The 21,157-nt window shown below is 48.3% G+C and overlaps 1 long non-coding RNA gene across 2 annotated transcripts in view, besides 2 other annotated features; it reads right to left on the reverse strand.

Moving 5' to 3' along the window:
• The window catches only part of LOC101929974 (uncharacterized), a 76,895-nt gene that overhangs the window by 38,577 nt on the left and 17,161 nt on the right, over positions 1–21,157 (reverse strand). The window contains exon 1 of one of the 2 annotated variants that reach the window (NR_187798.1): positions 792–1,976. The exons of the other annotated variant lie outside the window; for it this stretch is intronic. This is a non-coding gene — a long non-coding RNA (uncharacterized LOC101929974). Of the gene's footprint in view, positions 1–791; positions 1,977–21,157 lie in introns of those variants that run through there. 2 annotated transcript variants of the gene reach the window in all.
• Positions 8,039–8,088: an enhancer, noted in NCBI's record as "active region_7362". NCBI's record gives its function as "activates an Ori minimal core promoter by ATAC-STARR-seq in GM12878 lymphoblastoid cells {active_cell/tissue: GM12878}" and the evidence as "EXISTENCE:reporter gene assay evidence [ECO:0000049][PMID:35858748]".
• Positions 19,660–19,709: an enhancer, noted in NCBI's record as "active region_7363". NCBI's record gives its function as "activates an Ori minimal core promoter by ATAC-STARR-seq in GM12878 lymphoblastoid cells {active_cell/tissue: GM12878}" and the evidence as "EXISTENCE:reporter gene assay evidence [ECO:0000049][PMID:35858748]".

Here is a 21,157-nt window from a genome sequence, read left to right on the forward strand (position 1 = left end):
CAGTGTTATACGATTTGTTTTTCTAAGCTTTTAAATTAATGAAATAGTTGTGTACCTGCCCCCCAGTCTTACTGACCTAAGAACAGGTCTAACAGATTTAGGGAGTACACACTCTGAGCCTAAGATCCTCTGTTTATAAGTTGTGAACTCTCCACTCAGAAGTGATAACTCATTAGAGATGCTCTAACCCATGTTCATGAGCTTTGAAAAACCATCTGAGAGCCCAGAGGAGAGATCAGTGGACAACAACACTAGAATGAAACCCCAATTCTATGGCATAAACAGGAGAAATTGAAACAAAATATAAATAAAATATTTAAAAGTAGTTGGAAATGATAAGAATAAACAGAATGATAAGGAGAACAAATCAGAATTAATGAAACAGATGTACCAGGTGCAAATAAATGAAGCCTAATCCTTGCAGAAGAGGTTGTCATAGGGAATAAAGATGACAGCTCTGGGCCCTGGAATGCAAGACAACAGGACAACAGCTGGACCTGGGCAACAGACAAGCCAAATGTGACTGGAAAGGAATCTATGTCTGACTGCTGTCCAAGACTCTGCTGTTCTATTACAAGAGCTGCCTTTGGCTAATCCATGCAAAGCAAAGGTTTCAGGCAGTAACAAGCAATCCCCAAATCTCCAGGGCTTAAAAAGCCACTGTCAGTTTCTTCCCTATGCCATACACCCATGACAGATCACAGGGGCTCTCTGCTCACTGTAACCACTGCAGGGCCCCTGCTGCTGCTGCCCTCTGCGTGCCAGAGGGAGTGGGTTCTGGAGAGACTCACCACTCAAATCAAACGCTCTGGGATGGAAGTGACCCATGATGCCTCAATTCAACAGTCCCATTCTTCCAGGTGAGGGTGACTGACTCCAATACACGGGGGGAAAAACAGTCTCTCCAGTGGGGCCACACTCTGCACAGTGGGGACAGAGGAGGGACCAGCAGCTGTCTGGGACAGCTTCCAAGGAGCTCAGGTGAGAAGAGCCTTGAAGTTGAAGAGTATCTCAAGGAAGGCCCAGCCTCGGCTGTTTCTGGAGGCACACGGAGGTCTGGGTTCTGTGCAGGGTTCAGCCTTGGCCTTTTCAGATTCCCGCTCCTTGACTGCCGATATGGATCCCCCCTCTCCCCCGCACTGAGGGTGGACAGCAGAGCCGTGGGGTCTGAGCCTTTTCTCCACTGTGGGACAGACTTACAGCACAGGCGAGTGCTCCCTGCATCTGGACACAGCTGTGGGGCTGTTGTCGCCCCATCTTAGGCCTTGTTTCTAGGAGACGTTCCCACCGGAGGGAGTCTCTCGTCATTTTCCTCGGGTGATTCAGGAGCTCTGGGTGTCATTAGGTTGCATTGCTCATTCCCAGATCGAGCGGAAATCCCAGCCTGGCGTCTCCCACCAGCGCTCACGTGCGTATCTACAGCTCATACCTTGGGACGTCTGGGCGTGACGTCAGCTTCCGAGTTCACGAATCAGACAATTAGATTAAAAATTCAAATTCCACTTGGAACTCCCAGACCTCCGAAGCTCGGCGTGTTCTGCACTCAGTGGCCACAGAGCCCGGGTCCTGGCGCGGATGCGCTGGGGCTGAACTCCTACTCCTGACAGCGCCGTCCAGAGAGGTGCGGCCCGCGGCGGGGCTGGGGGAGCTGGGGACCCGCGGGCCCAGAGGAGGCGCAGGACGAGGGGGGCCGAGCCCCACCAGGACCGTCCCGGAGGCCTGAAGGCCGTGCCTGGTGCCCGGGCAGGTGTGAGGAGGCTGAGCCCCCGACAGCATCCTCTCTCTTCGTTCCCAGTCCCCACGTGGGGCCTTGGGGCACAGACTCCAGATACACGGAGGGTCTCGCCCCCTCTTTCCAGGACCACCCGAGTTTCACTCAGGAGCCCGCCCACCCCTGGCTGGGACCCTGGGACCCCCACGGATGTCCTTGGTCTATGGAGCGGCCTCTAGCCCCGGGTGTGGTTGGAAACCACTGTATTCTGGTTCTGTGATTGGTGCGGGGCTGGTCACATGGCCTGAGCAAGTCCAATCACTGTGAGCATCAGGGTTTGTTCCCTGGCCAATGGGAAAGGCTCTTACACTTTCACTGGTTGTACTCTGGACCAGTGATTGGTGCAGGGCTGGCCACATGGCCCAGCCAGTCCAATCAGAGTGCATGCCAGGCCTTGCCTCAGGGATAGCCGAAGAGCCTCTCATGTGAGAGGAACTGGAAGAGACTGTAGCCTCCATCTTGTCCTATTGATGGGGCCCCTAAGGGGCAGTCTGAGGGGCACAGGCCCTAGATTGGGTCATTAGTGGGGCCAGAGCAGCCCCGATCTGAGATGCCTTCAGAGCAGAAGGTCCAGATCTGAGATGGAAAAAAACATCACTGGAGCCCTGGATCCAGCCGAGCCTGCAGCCAGACTTGTACTGCAGCAGTTGCCAGGGCCAGGTCTCCTCCTCGCTTTTATTTCCTTGAGCTCATTTGAGGATTTCTGTGGCTTCCAGCCCGATCCACACAAAGCCGGATCAGGATCCAGAACCCGGATCTCGCCTCTTCCCCCTCTGCCGTCCTGAGCCTGGGCTCATGGCCTCAGTTTCCCTGGCTGTGAAAGGAGCCGGGAAAGCGCGGGCATCAGGAGCACGAGGGGCCTCAGGACAGCGCGGGTGACCCTGGGCCAACCGAGCCTCGATGCCAGCCCCAAGCCCGTGGAGCCCGCTGTCCCCTTGTATGTCGGCGGCAGACAGAGGGACAGGGTCAGGTGGGGCAGAGTCCACAGAAGGCCCACTGCACTCGCTACCTGGGCAGTAGGGGAGCCGCCCAAGCCGGGCCTCCGACGTCCCCTGGTTGGAGGGCGAGTGGTTCAGGCTCACTCCCGAGGGTCCTGACCAGCAGAAGGAGGGGCCCAGGGACAGGTGAGGAGATGCAGTCCTGGTCCCGGCGAGGACAGCGGCCGGCTCTTCCCGTGGCCCGGAGGGCCCTGTCGGAAACAGCTTGAGGACCCGGAGTTCCCAGGAGTCTCCTGCCAGCCTTCGTCTCTGCCTGCCCCTCTCGCCATAGTAGCGGGAAGGGTGGTAGGAACACGTGGGTATTCACGAGGCCCCACGCCTGGATGAAACCCAGACATCACATCGGGGTACAAATTGTGATGGCAAAACACACAAGTGAGGCTCATGAGACAGACGTCACCACACAGACACCGCCATACAGCCAGTATAGGCAAATAACCCACAAAATGAGATCAGTAGCTCACATGGAGAAACATGAAACTGTTAACACAGAGCACAGAAGCACAGCAAACATGGGGTGGCACACACAGGTCACAGAGGACATGCACAGGAATCACACCTCCGCAGCATGCATGGACCGGTGACACACAGGAGAGGATACAAAGAGACTCACACAGCAACACAAACAAGCACCAACACACGCAAGTGACATGTACAAGTGACAAAAGATGGTGATACATTCAGTAACATGGGCAACGTGGACACAGGTGATGGCACAACACACAGGAGAAGCCCACACTATGACACTAACACACCACACGAGTGACCCACCCAAGTGAGTGCACGTGCAGGCTGCACACAAACGGGTGACACACAGAGGCAGCAAATTCAGGTGACATATAGTCAGTACACATGAATAATGCATGGGAAAACACCCAAAGAAATGCAGCCAGATGATACACATATAGACATCACACACGCACACACACACACATACCAAGTAGCACAGGGGAGCATGTGGTGGTCAGGTAACACAGATTTAACATACATCAGCATAAATGTAACAAACCACATACAAAGATAACAGACACCAGTGCACAGGAAGCACTCACAGGTGATACAGTCACAGCCAGCACACACAGGCAGCACATCAAACACAAGGAAACAGCACACATATGGCACTCACAGGTGACACACAGCATTACGCATGTAGGCCATACCTATGTAACACACATTGGCAGTCCCTAAGTCACACCCATGGGCAATTCACATGGGAACCAGATAGGTAAGGCAGGGCCACTCAGGCAGCACACAGGTAACACATACACGGGCTTACTCTGGACCCAGGCTCAGATATAGGATTGAAGAAGGACCATATATGAGCCCAGTGTTCCTTCTAACCTGAGGGCAGATGCTCTGGGAGAAGCATGTTTGGAAACTGGGGTACGGGGTAGAGAAGGGCAATCCACTTGGCTTTAGTGCTTGGTCCTAAGGGAGGGAGGAGGGCTTTGCCAAGCTGGTGTGACCCCTCCTTTATACAGCATGTCACATTCTAAATCATCATCCTTTGATCTTCCACAGTGAAGAACACCGAGATGTTTAAATGAAATAACCCTCCTGAGTCTATTTCTTCTCCAGCTTCACGGGTGCAGTAAATACCTTGTAGTGAAGCCTTTATCTCTTAGATAAAAAAAGCGCTTATGCAGACGTTCCTCCTTGACTTGCTTCATTAATCTTTTCAAGTTACATCCTGCTGCCAAGTCCTCAACCTCCCTCCCATTACTGGAAGTGGGGCTTAATTGGGATGTCATAACTGCTGAGCTGCGATGTAGAGAAACCCTGAGATGGGATGCCTTAGGCATCTCCAGGAATCAGGATGGAGCTGGTGTTAGATGAGGGAGCACTTGTTTACCACCCGCATCCATTCTGAAGAACTAAAAGAAAAGACAAAGCCCAGGACTCTCACAAGGCTATTCATGAAAAGGTGGATGGAAAGGATGCTGCACCTTGACTTTCTATCCTGGGAGTCTTTTCTGTACTTCACCTTTAAAGTGACTTGGGAATGCTCTCCCTGCTGCGGGTCCACACTTGTGAAGCCGTGGATAATTCATCAAGGTGGGGCTGTAGAAGAAGCTATCCCTTCTGTCAGGGACAGAAGACACTGTCCCTGGTGTCTTCTGCCAGGACGCTGAGGGGAACACCCAACCAGAATGGGCAAGGACACAGAGAGACCACTCTAAGCCAAGCTCTCTCCTCCCCCCCTCCCTTTATGCTACATGCACAGGGTGTCAGAACAAGAGGAAAGACTCAAAGTTCTGAGTGAAAATTCATTACATTTCCAAGTGTTTCCAAGTTTTCTGATGCTTTTCAGGGGCCAGAGTCCAGTCTGCAACTTGGACTCAAAGAACCATGACCGTGTCCCTGGCAGAGACCATAGCCCATTGGTGCAACACAGCCTTAGAGTCTAGTTCCTTAGGAAGTGAAAGACCCTTCTGCAATCTTCCCTGACTGTAACATTGCAGCCATGATAGGACTGGCACCCCTCTTTCTTTGCACCCAGACTTCAGATGCTTCCGAGGCTGCCCACCATAGGATGGGCTTGGGAACTAGACTATCTCATTACAGAGTATCTGCTCCCAGAATGTTAACTGTCCCTAATGCTCTCAGTGGAGCAGAGAACTGAGAAAGGAGATTCACCATGAGTTAGAAAGGCAGTAAGAATCTCAAAAGACATCAAAATCTAATTTCAGCTTCCAAGAACAAAATGTGTTTCGTGGAACAGCATTGCAATTACCTTGCATTATCAACACCCAAACCCTTTTGGCACCATCTCCACCTTCTCATTTCTTATGCATGATCTTAGTGCAGAGTGATACTCACCTTAGTTTTAATTAAAAGCTCATAATGCACAAGTATATTTAGAAGGGAAAAGGACTCAGATCCCCTTTAAGGATAATTATATGCTTATTAAAGCCCATTTCCTACACCCCGCTGTGTGTTTAACTTGGCCCATATGCTCAACATGGACCTTGCTGGAGCTTTGTTGGTAGCTGCAGGTGTTGAAGTCCAGCAGTGAGCAACCACCCTCCTGGTCATGTGACCAAGAATATGGACCCCATCCACATCCCCAAGCACACTACAGGCTGAAGGGGTGTCTACATGCCCCCCTGCTTCAGCCTTGAAGGCTAGGGAGGAAGGAAGTATTGGATGGCATCTCCCAGCCTGCACACCAAGGCATCCCCCCGCCCTAGAATCTCTGGGATGTTGAATGATCTCTCTGAGTGACTTGAGCCCCAAGAGGAGATACAACATGGTATGTAAAGAAACTAGAGTCGGGTAGGGCCAGACCCAGATCATGGGAACCTGTAGGCTACTGCATCTGTCAGGAACGTTTGTGTCAGAGCAACAGTGTTTGAGTCGTAGTTGGGGAACATTTTCCCAGTGAAGAAGTTGCCCCTGAGTGGCCATACCATTGTATTTGTTCATTCATTCAACATGTATTTTCTGATGTGCTGGGTTGTGTTATTGGTACTGAAGACAGAAGCCACAGCAGCACAGACTCATCCCCTGCCCTCAAGTTCGCAGTCTAGAGAAGGATACGGAAGAGGAAAACCTACTCTAAAAATGGAATTGCAAACTATAATAGATGTCAGGATGGAAAATTACAGGGAGTTTTGAGAACATATAATGAGGCTTAAGGAGCTAACATTTGAAGGACATGCAATCAAAGGATATGGCATTCCAGGTAGTGGGACCAACAGGAGCAAAGGCCCAAAGTAGGACGCACACCCTTTAGGTACAAAAGTTGTTGTCATAGCAAGAGCTGACACTGGCAGAAGGCTCACTGTGTCTACAATTACTTTCCACTGCTTTAAATTAATCTCCCCATTTACTCCTCAGTGTAGCCTCAGGAGTAAAGACAGCTTAATGAACCTAGTACAATCATGATTCCCATACTGTAGAGGAGGATATGGAAGCAGGCACAGATAAGTAACTTGCCTAAGGTTATACAACTCATAAGCGGCAGTGCCAGAATTTGAACCAGGCCATCTGGCTCCATGCTGAACTTCTTTAAGATCCCTCCAAGTGATCTGAGCCCCAAGAGGAGATGCTGCATGGTTTGCAAAGAAACTAGAGTTGGACAGGACAAGAGCCAGATCATGAGAACCTGAAGACCATCGCATCTGTCAGGATCCTTTCTGTCGTGAGCAACAGCAAACCAAAACCAGGCCAGCATAAATGAGAAGAGACATTAATGGTGCACTTACCTGGAAAGTGTGGTGACTTCAGGCCTGGCTTGATCCAAGTGCCCAGGTGACATCACCAGAGTCCAGTCTCTGCTCTCCTTCTCTGTGCTACCTTTATTCTCAAAGCAGCTCTGTCCAGTAACTCCAACCTTACCATCCTCCAGTTTATGATTCAAAAATCTCAAGAAAGGTCCACCACCTTTCCTCAGCCATTCAAGCAGAAGACCAGGGTTTCCTCTGTTTGGATGCCAGAGTCCTTGCTTGAATTGCATGCTTGTTCCTGAACCCATCACTGTGGCCCAAATGGAAGCTCTGATTGATCCAGGCTAGGATGCATGACCCATTCCCTGGAGCCCAAAGCAAAGTCACATCTGGAGTCCTGGACTGGGGGAGAGGATCTGGCAGGGAATGTAGACCCAGATATGGAAGAAGAATGTGAAGACTGAATGTCCAACAAACAAATGTCACTCTTCAGGCCCATCCAGGACTTCGGCTATTGAGGAGAACTCAGCACCAAGAAGAGAGTATTTTCCAGGTTCTCTGTTAACTGAGACCATGGCTTTGAAGAGGAAGGAGGAAAGAAGGATGGCCCAAGGGAGGCAGCAGCTCCAGAAGCAGGAGAGCTGTAGACTTCCCCCAACATTCGCCCATACCCCACCCACCTTGCACCCAGGCCTGGGTGGGACAGAAACCTCCAGAGCCCAATAAGAAGGGGACTTTAAACTAGTGGCTCTCAAAGACGCTGTCCACTGGAATAATCTGGGAAGCTTTGCAATGACTGGATCCTGGCTGGCCTCATTCTCACAGATCCTGATGTAATTGGGCTGGGGCACAGTTTGGAAATCAGGGTTGTTAAATCTTCCCATGTGACTCTTATGTGCAGCCAAGACTATAATCTACAGCCTGAGTCATTCTCTACATGCACCAACAGTGTGTCTACTCCTCAAACACCACCCAGGGATATCACTCTATTTTAATTCATCTCATTTCTATCCATTTGTTAAAAAAAAAAACATAGCAGTTCACCCACTTAACTCTCTATTGTTAATTTTTCAAATCCTCCCTGGGGCTCCTTCAGAGTAACTAGGGGAGAAACCAGTGTCTGACCTGGAAGCTCCTTTTTCTTTGCTGTGCTGATTTGCTCAAGATGTTTCAGGTGACAGTGAGGCTGTGGTTGGTGTGAGGTCAGTCTTCACCTTTCTAAGTCTGGCCAGGAGAGGAAGTGACTGGGAGAGAAGATGATTAATACCCTCCCAGGCAACCCTGAGTGGGGCTTGTGGGGAGGCCCTCAGTGCATTTGGCATAACTAGTCTGAGCTGTCTCCTTCTCTTCCTTCCATCCATCTGTCCATCCACCCATCAATTTGCAAGGACCAGATTATGATGGACATTTCTCCAGAGGTCTGTGAGGGAGGGAGATGATGGGCCAGAAGCCAGATGCATCAGACTCATGCCTTCCCAGAGAAAAGATGGAGAGAGGGAGCTCCTGAACTGACTGAGCCCAACTGTGATATAACCACATTTACTTACAATTGACTAAGACTGAATGTTGTGCAGTTATTTTGGAGGTAGTATTAGCTATTACTGTAAGTTTCAGTTTTGCATGGCTCAAAATTCGAACCTATTACATGTTTGGATGAATGGAATTCTTGAAAATGTGTCTCTGATACATGATGAATCAGAAACCAGGCTGTTCTTCTTGACCGGGTTAAAGTAAGGATGGAGAGGAAAGGCCAGGATGTGAGCCAGTGAGGGTCCAGACCCACTATCATCATGCCTTGAGATCCTGGAATATGAATGTCTACAGTAAGTGCTTAGCAATGGTCTGGCATCATGGATGTACACGACAAGCTTAGTGATGGCATGGCACTGTACATGTACATGGTGGTTCCCAGTCATTACCTGGCATTGGATGGTGCTTAGTGATGGTCTAGCACTGTGAGTGTACACAGTAGGTGCTCAATAATGGCTTGGCACCAGTTACGTACATAGTAGGTGCTTGGTGAGGACCTGGCATTATGGATGTACACAGAAGATGCTCAGTGATGGTCTGATGGGTTCCTCTCCGTGCCCAGCTGCTTACTAGTTACTGGTTAGGTGTGCCCAGTCACAAGGGGGGGGGTCCCGAAACCCACCACAGATGACACACCCTTCAGATAAGAAAGGGGTTCTAGAGATACAAGACCAGCAGGGGAGGTCGCCTGAAGAGGTATCAGTGAACTGAGTGACAACCCAACCCACAGAGAAACTTAAAAATCACGCGCCCTGTCACAAGTTACCTAATCATGACCACCCGCGCTGACTGGGGGCCTACTCTATGCAGGCCCTCCTCTGAGTAGAGTTGGTCCTATGTAACCGCAGGTTCTGCATCTACAGATTCAACCAACCTCGGATACAGAATGTAGTTAGGCCTACGATGGTTGCATCTGCACTGTATGTGTACAGACTTCTTTTTCTTGCCATTATTCCCTAAACAATAAAGTATAACAACTTTTCTTTCTTTTAAGAGACAAGATCTCACTATATTGCTCAGGCTGGTCTCAAACTTCTAGTCTCAAACTTCTGGTCTCCAGTGATCTTCCCATCCCAGCTTCCTGAATAGCTGGGATTACAGGCATGAGCCACTGCATACAGCCAGTATAACAACTGTTTACACAGCATTCACATTGTCTTAGGCACTACAAGTAATCTAGAGATGATTTAAAGTAGAGATGGTCCCTGGCTTACAATGGTTCAACTTATGATTTTTTGAAGTTATGGTGGGTTTATTGGGATGTAACCCCATGGTAAATAGACAAGCACACGGACTTACGACAGTTTCACTTATAATTGTTCAACTTTACCACGGGTTTATCAGGGTATTATTAACTGCACATTTTTGACTAAATGAAATTTTCTACTTACAATGGGTTTATTAGGACATAGCCCCATCAGAAGTTGAAGAGCATCTGTATATGGGAGGATATGCATACATTATCTGCAAATACTATGCCATTTATATAAAGGACTTGAGCATCTGCAGATTTTGATGTCCACGGGGAATCCTGGAACCAATCCCCTGCAGATTCTGAGGGACAACTGTACTCTCCCACAAAATCGAGCAGCACAAGATCAGGGGCTATGTCTGTCTTGAGTCACCATAGGGGCCCCATCCCCTGAATGAGCATGGCCCAGAGCAGTTGACCAAAATAGACCTGATGAATGAGTGAATACGTGACTGAACCTATGAAATTGGAAGACAGGAAAAAACATTTAACACAGTGCTGGCTAAGCTGTGGGCAGACAGGCATTGCCACTCCCTACTGTGCAGTGCTCACTAGTCTCTTTTTTCTGGAGTGTCAATGACAGTTTACATCAGATATGACAAAGACTCTTTGGCCCACTGATCCAGTTTCCATCCACAACACCTGATGTACGCATATAGAAACTTTTTTTTAATCTACAACAGGAAACCTTTTGGGAAAGCCTCCATTTTCAGCAACAGGGTATTGAATGAATAAAAACTCAGAAGTCATATGAGAAGATGCTCTGATCCACACATTAGATTCACTCTCTGCAGTGAGGTGCCTAGAAAGCTGTTTATTATTTAAAAACACCCTGGGTAATTCTGACGTTCACCTGAGGAAATCATCATTGTCAAAGGAGGATGTTTAATGACTTGAAGACAAAGTCACATATTATTGAACAAAAACACAGGCTACAATAAAGTGTGCATAAAGTGAGCCAAGTTTCATTCAAAAAACTTCACTCAAATATATTGTGTCACACACATACACACTCACAAAGATATCTGAAAATCCCTGCGCCAAAATATCTCCAGTGGTTGCCCCCTAGTGATATAATTATAGGTGATTTTTTTTCTTCTTTTTGATATATAGAGAGAGACTTTAAATTTTTCTACAGTAAATATGTAACTTGTAATAAAATGTTATTTTTAAAAATAGCAGATGACCTTTCAAATATAGTGATTGAAAGCAGGATAGCAGGGACTACACAGGCCAAGTGGGAAAAGACCAGAACCCAAAAGCTTGAGGTTATACCCCAATTACAGCCATGCCAATTGATGAGAATTGGAAGAAAATTTAGATAAATAAATGTAGTAGAAATATGATGTTCATAGGCTGGTTGTGAAATTGCTCAAGCACCTACTTTTTTTTATTTTTTTTAGATAAAAATCCAGCTGATTTATTTTTATTGTACTTTAAGTTCTAGGGTACATGTGCACAACGTGCAGGTTTGTTACATATGTATACATGTGCCATGTTGGTGTGCTGCACCCATTAACTCGTCATTTATATTAGGTATATCTCCTAATGCTATCCCTCCCTCCTCCCCCGACCCCACAACAGGCCCTGGTGTGTGATGTTCCCCTTCCTGTGTCCAAGTGTTCTCATTGTTCAATTCCCACCTATGGGTGAGAACATGCGGTGTTTGGTTTTTTGTCCTTGTGATAGTTTGCTGAGAATGACGGTTTCCAGCTTCATCCATGTCCCTACAAAAGACATGAACTCATCCTTTGTTATAGCTGCATAGTATTCCATGGTGTATATGTGCCACATTTTCTTCATCCAGTCTATCATTGATGGACATTTGGGTTGGTTCCAAGTCTTTGCTACTGTGAATAGTGCCGCAATAAACATACGTGTGCATGTGTCTTTATAGCAGCATGATTTATAATCCTTTGGGTATATACCCAGTAATGGGATGGCTGGGTCAAATGGTATTTCTAGTTCTAGATCCCTGAGGAATCGCCACACTGTCTTCCACAATGGTTGAACTAGTTTACAGTCCCACCAACAGTGTAAAAGTGTTCCTATTTCTCCACATCCTCTCCAGCACCTGTTGTTTCCTGACTTTTTAATGATTGCCATTCTAACTGGTGTGAGATGGTATCTCATTGTGGTTTTGATTTGCATTTCTCTGATGGCTAGTGATGATGAGCATTTTTTCATTTGTCTGTTGGCTGCCTAAATGTCTTCTTTTGAGAAGTGTCTGTTCATATCCTTTGCCCACTTATTGATGGGGTTGTTGGTTTTTTTCCTGTAAATTTGTTTCAGTTCTTTGTAGATTCTGGATATTAGCCCTTTGTCAGATGAGTAGATTGCAAAAATTTTCTCCCATTCTGCAGGTTGCCTGTTCACTCTGATGGTAGTTTCTTTTGCTGTGAAGAAACTCTTTAGTTTAATTAGATCCCATTTGTCAATTTTGGCTTTTGTTGCCATTGCTTTTGGTATTTTAGACATGAAGTCCTTGCCCATGCCTATGTCCTGAATGGTATTGCCTAGGTTTTCTTCTAGGGTTTTTATGGTTTTAGGTCTAACATTTAAGTCTTTAATCCATCTTGAATTAATTTTTGTATAAGGTGTAAGGAAGGGATCCAGTTTCAGCTTTCTACATATGGCTAGCCAGTTTTCCCAGCACCATTTATTGAATAGGGAATCCTTTCCCCATTTCTTGTTTTTGTCAGGTTTGTCGAAGATCAGATGGTTGTAGATGTGTGGTATTATTTCTGAGGGCTCTGTTCTGTTCCATTGGTCTATATCTCTGTTTTGGTACCAGTACCATGCTGTTTTGGTTACTGTAGCCTTGTAGTATAGTTTGAAGTCAGGTAGCATGATGCCTCCAGCTTTGTTCTTTTGGCTTAGGATTGTCTTGACAATGAGGGCTCGTTTTTGGTTTCATATGAACTTTAAAGTAGTTTTTTCCAATTCTGTGAAGAAAGTCATTAGTAGCTTGATGGGGATGGCATTGAATCTATAAATTACCTTGGGCAGTATGGCCATTTTCACGACATGGATTCTTCCTATCCATGAGCATGGAATGTTCTTCCATTTGTTTGTGTCCTCTTTTATTTTGTTGAGCAGTGGTTTGTGGTTCTCCTTGAAGAGGTCCTTCACATCCCTTCTAAGTTGGATTCCTAGGTATTTTATTCTCTTTGAAGCAATTGTGAATGGGAGTTCACTCATGATTTGGCTCTCTGTCTGTTATTGGTGTATAACAATGCTTGTGATTTTTGCACACTGATTTTGTATCCTGAGACTTTGCTGAAGTTGCTTATCAGCTTAAGAGATTTTGGGCTGAGACGATGGGGTTTTCTAAATATACAATCATGTCATCTGCAAACAGGGGCAATTTGACTTCCTCTTTTCCTAATTGAATACCCTTTATTTCCTTCTCCTGCCTGATTGCCCTGGCCAGAACTTCCAACACTATATTGAATAGGAATGGTGAGAGAGGGCATCCCTGACCTGTGCCAGTTTTCAAAGGGAATGCTTCCAGTTTTTGCCCATTCAGTATGATATTGGCTGTGGGTTTGTTATAAATAGCTCTTATTATTTTGAGATACTTCCCATCAATACCTAATTTATTTAGAGTTTTTAGCATGAAGTGTTGTTGAATTTTGTCAAAGGCCTTTTCTGCATCTATTGAGATAATCATGTGGTTTTTGTCATTGGTTCTGTTTATATGCTGGATTATGTTTATTGATTTGCGTATGTTGAACCAGCCTTGCATCCCAGGGATGAAGCCCACTTGATCATGGTGGATAAGCTCTTTGATGTGCTGCTGGATTCTGTTTGCCAGTATTTTATTGAGGATTTTTGCATCGATGTTCATCACGGATATTGGTCTAAAATTCTCTTTTTTTGTGGTGTCTCTGCCAGGCTTTGGTATCAGGATGATGCTGGCCTCAGAAAATGAGTTAGGGAGGATTCCCTCTTTTTCTATTGATTGGAATAGTTTCAGAAGGAATAGTACCAGCTCCTCCTTGTACCTCTGGTAGAATTCGGCTGTGAATCCGTCTGGTCCCGGACTTTTTTTGGTTGGTAGGCTATTAATTATTGCCTCAATTTCAGCGCCTGTTATTGGTCTATTCAGGGATTCAACTTCTTCCTGGTTTAGTCTTGGGAGGGTGTATGTGTCCAGGAATTTATCCATTTCTTCTAGATTTTCTAGTTTATTTGCATAGAGGTGTCCTACTTTTTTAAATTAAAAATAATAAATTGTGCTGTCGGCATGAAGTCAAAACTTGATTCCATTAAAAAAAAAAAAAAAAAAAAAAAGATGTGTGGGAGTGTTTGGCTCGGACAGCAGCAGAAATCTTTAAGCCAGGAAGACTGAACAGGCACAAGCAGAGAAGCCTGAGGATGCATCACAGAAGCCAGGCGAGGCCCAGGCCAGCTCAATGCAGGGCACTGAGTAATGAGGAAAGGACACTGACGACTGCGGGCCCCAACCAAAGGGAAGCCAGGGTGACAGTTCCCCCAGGCCCGGCCGTCCAGCCCAGGACTGCAGCTTCACCATCAGTGTTTACAGCAAGAGCCTGTGCAGGAGCCAAAGGGAGGAACAGAAGGAGGTGTGGGAGAGTAAGCCCTTCCGCTTGTGGGCAGATGCGCTGTCTTGAAGAGTGCTTGGCATCTTCAAGTAAAATTAGGGTTCCTGGGCCGCAGCCTCCAGTTTCTAACCTAGCATCAGAAGGGACAAATGAAGCTGATCTTAAGCGAGCAACCTGATAACCCACCTGCCAGATTAGGAAAAGCAGGAATAGACTGCTAATGCATCTGCTGGTCCTGGCTGGGCTTTTAATATGTAACCCCCACTGATACCCCAGCTTCCTGTCTTACAGGTACAAGAAGACTGCTGTGAGGTGAAGCTCACAGGGGCAGCCAGGTGACAAGAAGTAATATATTACCTGTTACTTGCACCTGAAGAGTCACGGGGCGGCCTCCAGGACTCACAATCATTGCAGAGCACTCACTCCCAACCAGGCACGTCTACATTAGAATCCTCTTTGCTGATTGCTTTTCTCTGGATACTGCCCTTGCAGGCAGGGCTGGACAGAAAATGTCCTGGGTAGGACAGATGAGAACGCCTGGGCTGGGACTGCAGAAGGCAGGTGAGTTCCAAGCCTCTGCTACTCCACGTGTGGCACTTGGACCTGCAGCACAGAATCCCCTGGGAGCCTGTCAGAAATGCAGAGTCCCAGGCCTAGCAGTCAGCATCAGGTGGGTCATGAGCACCCTGCTCTGAGGAGCACAGGGCTGAGCCACAGCCAGGAGGAAAGCTGCTTTCTCCAGTCAGCACCACACAGAGGGTCAGGAAATGCACGTGCTATGGCCATTTTGGTTAAGGTGAGATCAGCTGTGAGCCACTGAAAACCACAAACACAGGAGTTTAAACAAGACAGGAGTTTCCTTCTCTCTCACGAAACAGCATAGAGAAATGTAGTCCTGGGCTGGCGTCATTGTTCACCTTTATAAAGGCAGGAGACTACTCCATCTTTCTTCCCTGGCGTCTTCGATAGTTGATCCTCCTCATGTTCCAAGATGGCTGCATGAGCTCCAGCCCCCACACTGCACTCCATCAGCCTGGAACAGGGAGGCCACCATCCTTATCTGACTCTACTCTCTTCTCCAGTCACCTGACACTTGCGCGCAGCTTCACACAAAGCATAGCAGCCGTCACCTGCATCCTGGGACAAGCCCTGGGAAAGCCTAAGTAATTCTGCCGTGGAGCCAGGCAGGAGGATCTGTGTGCCCTGTGTCCCCCACCCCACATGGAAAGAGCCTGACCAACATCCGTCTACAGGACCCACCAGGGAGGAAAGAGAAAAAGTCACTTCATTTAGGAAACATCTCTCAAAACCCAGGAGATCTGCAGGACTGGGAGTAGAACAGAGGGAAGGCGCTGTTTGCAATCTCACTGACAATCACAGCATGTTAACCTAATAGAAGCAGAGGAGTCTCCAGCATATCCAATTATGTTAGCAGGCTGGGCAGGAGTCAGGCCATTATCTCACTCATCTGGACGGACTCCATTATGCCATTGCTCTTTCTTGATTAAATCTTCTCTAACGATGTCTGTCCAGGGAGGGAGAGAATCATTGCATCTGCTGGAGGAGATGTGACGGTGGCAGGTGGTGTCCCCAAGGACCAGCACCACCTAGCCCCTCTCCCAGCCCTGGGGCCTTGAGCTGGTTTCACCCCTAACCTCTGCCCTTGACCACAGTGAGGAGCATTGTTCCTACTAATGGTCACTCCAACCTGTGGCTCATCTTTGATTCTGTCTTCTTCATTCTCTCGGAAACACTTTAGACAGCTGACTAGTTCTTCCACCTTGTAAATGAACTATTGATTGTTCTCTCTGGCACTGCATTCTCAATCTTCCTCCTGCCTCTGTGACTTTTTATCTGTCTCCACTATTGTCTTGTCTCTGCCTCATGACACCTAAACGTAGATATTCCCCAAGGCTCGATTATCAGCCACGCTCTCTTTGGAAACTCTCACTTGGGACTCCATCTCCCCCATATGAAACATTTCCTTCTCTGCATCTCCAGTTCAACTCTCTCTCCCCACACTCTGTCTCCTCTGAAGTCCTGCCGTGTGACATCCCTGGCATGGGCAGGGCACATCCAGTCATCCGACACCCCAACACCCACTCTCACCATTCTCCCGACACCCAGGTCCACATCGTCTCATGATCCACAACTAAGGTTTAGGAGTGTGTTGGATCTGACCACTGGGAGAATTTACCAGCCAGCACCAGCAGCCCTCTTAACTCCTCCAGCGTGCACAGACGCGGACTCTTGACTGATGAGAGGCCACGTAACAAACAACTAGTCTGATGGTCATTGACAAATTGGGTGTCATTGATGGCACTTAATGGCACCAAGAGCTAGAATTCTTTAAGTCGCAACTTCCTGAAAAGCAGGGCTGTCTCCTTCCATTGAGCACTGTTCTCTCATAAGAGACACTGGGAATTACTGTCTAAAGGTCCACCCTAGGGACTCATAAATATCTAAAATCCCATGTTGAGGAGGTGTGACTGAGAGGGGCAGCAGATTGAAGTCTCTCACCCTTCTTAGCTGGGTGGCCATTTAGTAAAGGCAAATGATCAGCTCCCAATACCAAGGCATCCAAGCATTTCACATGCAAAAAACAAGTATCTAAGGTTGAAATGTGTCACGCATCCCCTGGAGGTGCCCTGACCTCCACAAAGAGCCATTTGGAACATCTTGGCACAGTTAATTACTCCCTCTTACCTGGAAAGGTGACTGAGTTAATGCATGTCCCACTGAGATATATCAGCTTTGGTAGGAGATCTCTTGCAGCTAAGAAGGAATCATGATACAGAACTTTAGAAACCAGGCAGACCATCAAATCAGTTGTTTGTTACACGGCCCCTCACTCAGTCAGGGGAGTCCACATCTGTGCATGCTGGAGAAATTGATAGGGCTGCTGGTGCTGGGTGATGGGGCATAAATTCCCCCAATGGTTAGTATTGATGGCTATGGCCTCTTTCCAAAGAAATAAGCTCTCAGAATTACACACAGTGGCTGAAGCCATTTTTAGCAGGTGGAGGCCACATATCACAGCCACAGAGATTTGTTTCCTTAGACCTTAAAGATTATTTCTCATTCTGATGGCCAATCCCTCATTGAGGGCAAAGATAAAATGGTTTCCGGGAGAATGGACACAAACCCTATCTCCCACGCCCCCATCAGTGCTCCCGACCTGCTCATTGACAGGATTTGAGGAGAGCCCAAAGATCCCACTTACTGCAGAAGATGAACAAGCAGAATCTCAGAGCACCCAGTTCCTTTTCTCTAAAGAGTACAGGATGTTGTCAGGATAAACTGATCCTTCCAAGCACTATTTAGTGTGAAGAAATCTAAGGCTTATTATAGCAGAGTCTTAAATGTCAGCATTCATGGGAATCACCCAGAGGGTTTGTTAAAACATAGATTGCTGGGCTCTACTCCTACAGTGTCTGAGCAGGTCTGGGAAGCAGGACTGACAATTTGTATTTCTACCAAGTTTCCAGGTGATGCTGATGCTGCTGGCCCAGGGACCCCACTTTGAGAACCACTGGATTTAATGGGAAAGGAGCAATATTGCCAGATGGCACAGGACCCAGTGCTATGCTCCTCCTAAAGAACTATTATCCAAAAAGCAGGCCCTACTGTAGGGCTGGCTGCTGACCTGGGGGAATTGTGAGAGTCAACCCCAGGGTTCTTGGGAGATGTGGCCCCAGTTAACCTGGAGTCACAGGTGGCTCTGGCAAGCATCCCTCTCCCACCTGCCCTTTTCACAGGCCCGCACTCAGGGTCTTAGCAGTTGGAAGCATGTGGTGAGAGTCACTAGGTCATCATTGGCTTTCCCTAAGGTTGTGTGGCAAAATCCCCACGTCAGTTCGAGGCCACGCCCTGCAAGTCAGTTCCTCAGAGAAGGCCCTACCTGTTGACACAGAGGATGAAAAAGAAGCTAACAAAATGTAGAAGCTGGCATTGGAGTAGAGGGCACGGGCAGGGGAACAAACCCTTGCAAACCCCACTGCCCACACATGTGGCCGTTCCTACTCTGCGCACTGCCTCCCTCAGCGTGGGTGGAAGTATCTCTAGGCCATATGCTCGGGGAAGCACTGATCATTAAATTAGCCCTGCTCTTGCTCTAATTAAGACTCCCATCTGTTTCACTCATTAACCACCACTGGCCTGTTCCTGCCTCTGGTGTTTCACTTCATATTTCAAAGGAGTCAACTGCCTCTCTCCAGCCAAAATCACCAAGGGTCCAGGTTGTAAATCAAGTGGGGCTCAAGGGCAGCCCCTCCTGAGTTCTAAGTCACTATAGTCACACTTCTGCTCAGGCCCTTTGGGGTCCCTGCCCACCACACAGCCACCTGATGAGCCCCATCTACTCCTTGTCACTCACGGATTCTCTCCTCTCCTCAGTGGGGTCTTCCTCCCGCCCACCGGTGAGCTCCAAGGCTTGATCCTTCACAGCCCATCACACCTGGTGTATGCCTCAGTTTACCCCTCATCACCTGGCCCAATGACTGAGACTCTGTCTCCCTCATAGACTATAGGTTCCCTAAAGGCTGGGACTTGGTCTTTTTGTCTCTGTAACCCCAAAGTGCATCCCAGCACCAGGACTCAGAAGCCCTCAGGAAATGAACATTGAAAGAATGAGTGAATGAATGAATGATGAACAAATGGATGGACGTGCAAAACTGCTGCACACGGATCTGGCACCTCCCTGGAGGAGGTGAGACACGGCCATAATGAGCTTCCTTGTCAAGAGCCCAAGAGCCTGGCAATGACAGCTCCTGGCAATGGGTGCCTATAAAACCCAGAATTGTTTCAGCACTTCGGCTCTCAGAGAAACTGCAGCCAGCTTGTTCTCATAAGACTAATGCAATAAAAATAAAACACCTGTTTCTGGGAAACAAAAATATCATGCATTATTCAGCTACCATCTTTAGATCCTGGGAAACTGTATCTGAAAGGATCAATCACTGAGAAATAGGTACCAAAATGTGCTACTTTTAAAGTGATGGTCTGTTGTTTCTTAAAATGAACAACAAAAGATCTTTGGGGAACAGGCCTAGCTGAAGCTCTCTGAGGACTCTCAACATAGGCAGAGCTGCCAGTGTCCCTGGTCAAACACAGAAGGAGAGGGGTCCCTGGATCTGGAGGAGGCTCTGGGCAGGGGGGATCGTAGCGAAGATGCGCTTTCCTCTCTGATGCCATGACCCCCTTCTGTTTCCCCAAGGCCAGCCCTGGTCTGGGGGGCTCCAGCCTTCCCACATCCACCTGCTCCTGGGTGCACTTCCGTGGGGCTCTCACCCTCACAGCCCGCCCCCAGGATCCCAGATCCCACTCATACAACCCGAACATTCTCTGCTTCTTTCTCGGGAGTCTGGAATCATGATCAGTAAGTCTAGACTTTTTTTGAAAATGCCAATGCCAAAGCCAAAGCCAGGCCATGGGGCCCAAGGAAGCATTCCTCTCATCCTCCTCTGAATACTGGGCATGGAGAAAACCAGGAGACACAGACTCAGAAAGGGCCAAGTCAATTTCCTAAAGATGTTATAATTGCTCACTTCCCAGCTAGCTCTGATGCCTGCAAGCTCTTCACCAACCCCAGGAGGTGAGCGTCATGCAAATGATACCAATTTCCCACCCCCGTCCTGTCTCTGAATAGACAGGAAGTACATGAGTCAGTAGCATTTGACACTCACAGAGGAAGGTGCTGCTGAGAGAGGCCTGGGACAAGCAAGAGGAAGGAACAGACTCAGGGGAAGACTGTGAGGGTGGCATGTGGCAGAGCCGCCCACCAGCACCCAGACCACCTCCTAGGCCCTGTGCACGTGGAGACTGAGTGAGGACTTCCCAGAGTCTGCAGGTGGTGCCCACCCTGTCCTCCGAGGGAAAGTGAGACAGTCACCCCAGGCTGGGCTGAGCAGCCCACGGGTCGCTGCAACCCTCACACTGCACCTCACTATTCCCTAAAGGGCCCTGCAGGACTGGTTCCATCCCTTCTCTGGCCACATCTGTGTCAGGGATTCCAGGACCATCCCCAGGTTCAGAGACTCCCAGGACTCAGGCTGCAATTTATTACAGTGAAAGGACAACCTGCAAAAACAGCAAAGAGAAAGGCACAAGGGGAACCAGGCACAAGCTCCCAGAGTCCCCTCCCTGGGGAGTCACACAGCACATGTCTAATTCCCCAGCGATGAGATGTGACAACACATGTGAGTGCTGTCTATGAGGGACGCTCACTAGAGACTCGGCACCCAGGGTTTACTGGGGTCTGGTCACGTCAGCACCTGTGCCTGGCATAGTCCAAAATCCCAGCCTCTCAGAGGGAAAGCAGGTCCTCAGCATAAACCCTATTGTTTGCACACGCAGCCATTCAGTGAATCAGTGTGGGGGCCTGTTTATCGGCAAAGCTCCCAGGCCCCAGCTGAGGGCCAACCTTGCCAGCAGGCCTCTGCAGGGAGGGCATCTTTGGCCTTCATGGTTAATTCCTTCTGCACAAGTACCACCTCTGTCCCGCCCATGCTCACCGTCCCCAGCCACATGAGCTCCCACCAGCACCTTGACCTCCTGCAGGCTCAGCCTGGCACCGCTCCCAACTCCATCCATGCACAGCTGGCTCCTTGTTGGCATCCAGGGCTCAGATCAATGTCACCTCCCCACAGTCACCTCCTCCCCACAACCACCCAGTCTACAGTAGCCTGCGTCCTACGTACCACCACACAGCACAGTGTTAGGCCCTCCCCACACTGTTCTTAAATGTTCTTATTTGTTTACTACCTGTCCTTGCTGGGATGCCAGTTCCCAGAGAACAGGAGCCTGGTCTATACCCTCAGATCCTAACCAGTGTGTGCACATGATGAATGCACGTGTGATGGTTACTACTT

This window comes from Homo sapiens, chromosome 12, assembly GCF_000001405.40.
Source record: "Homo sapiens chromosome 12, GRCh38.p14 Primary Assembly".
Classification (NCBI taxonomy): Eukaryota; Metazoa; Chordata; class Mammalia; order Primates; family Hominidae; genus Homo; species Homo sapiens.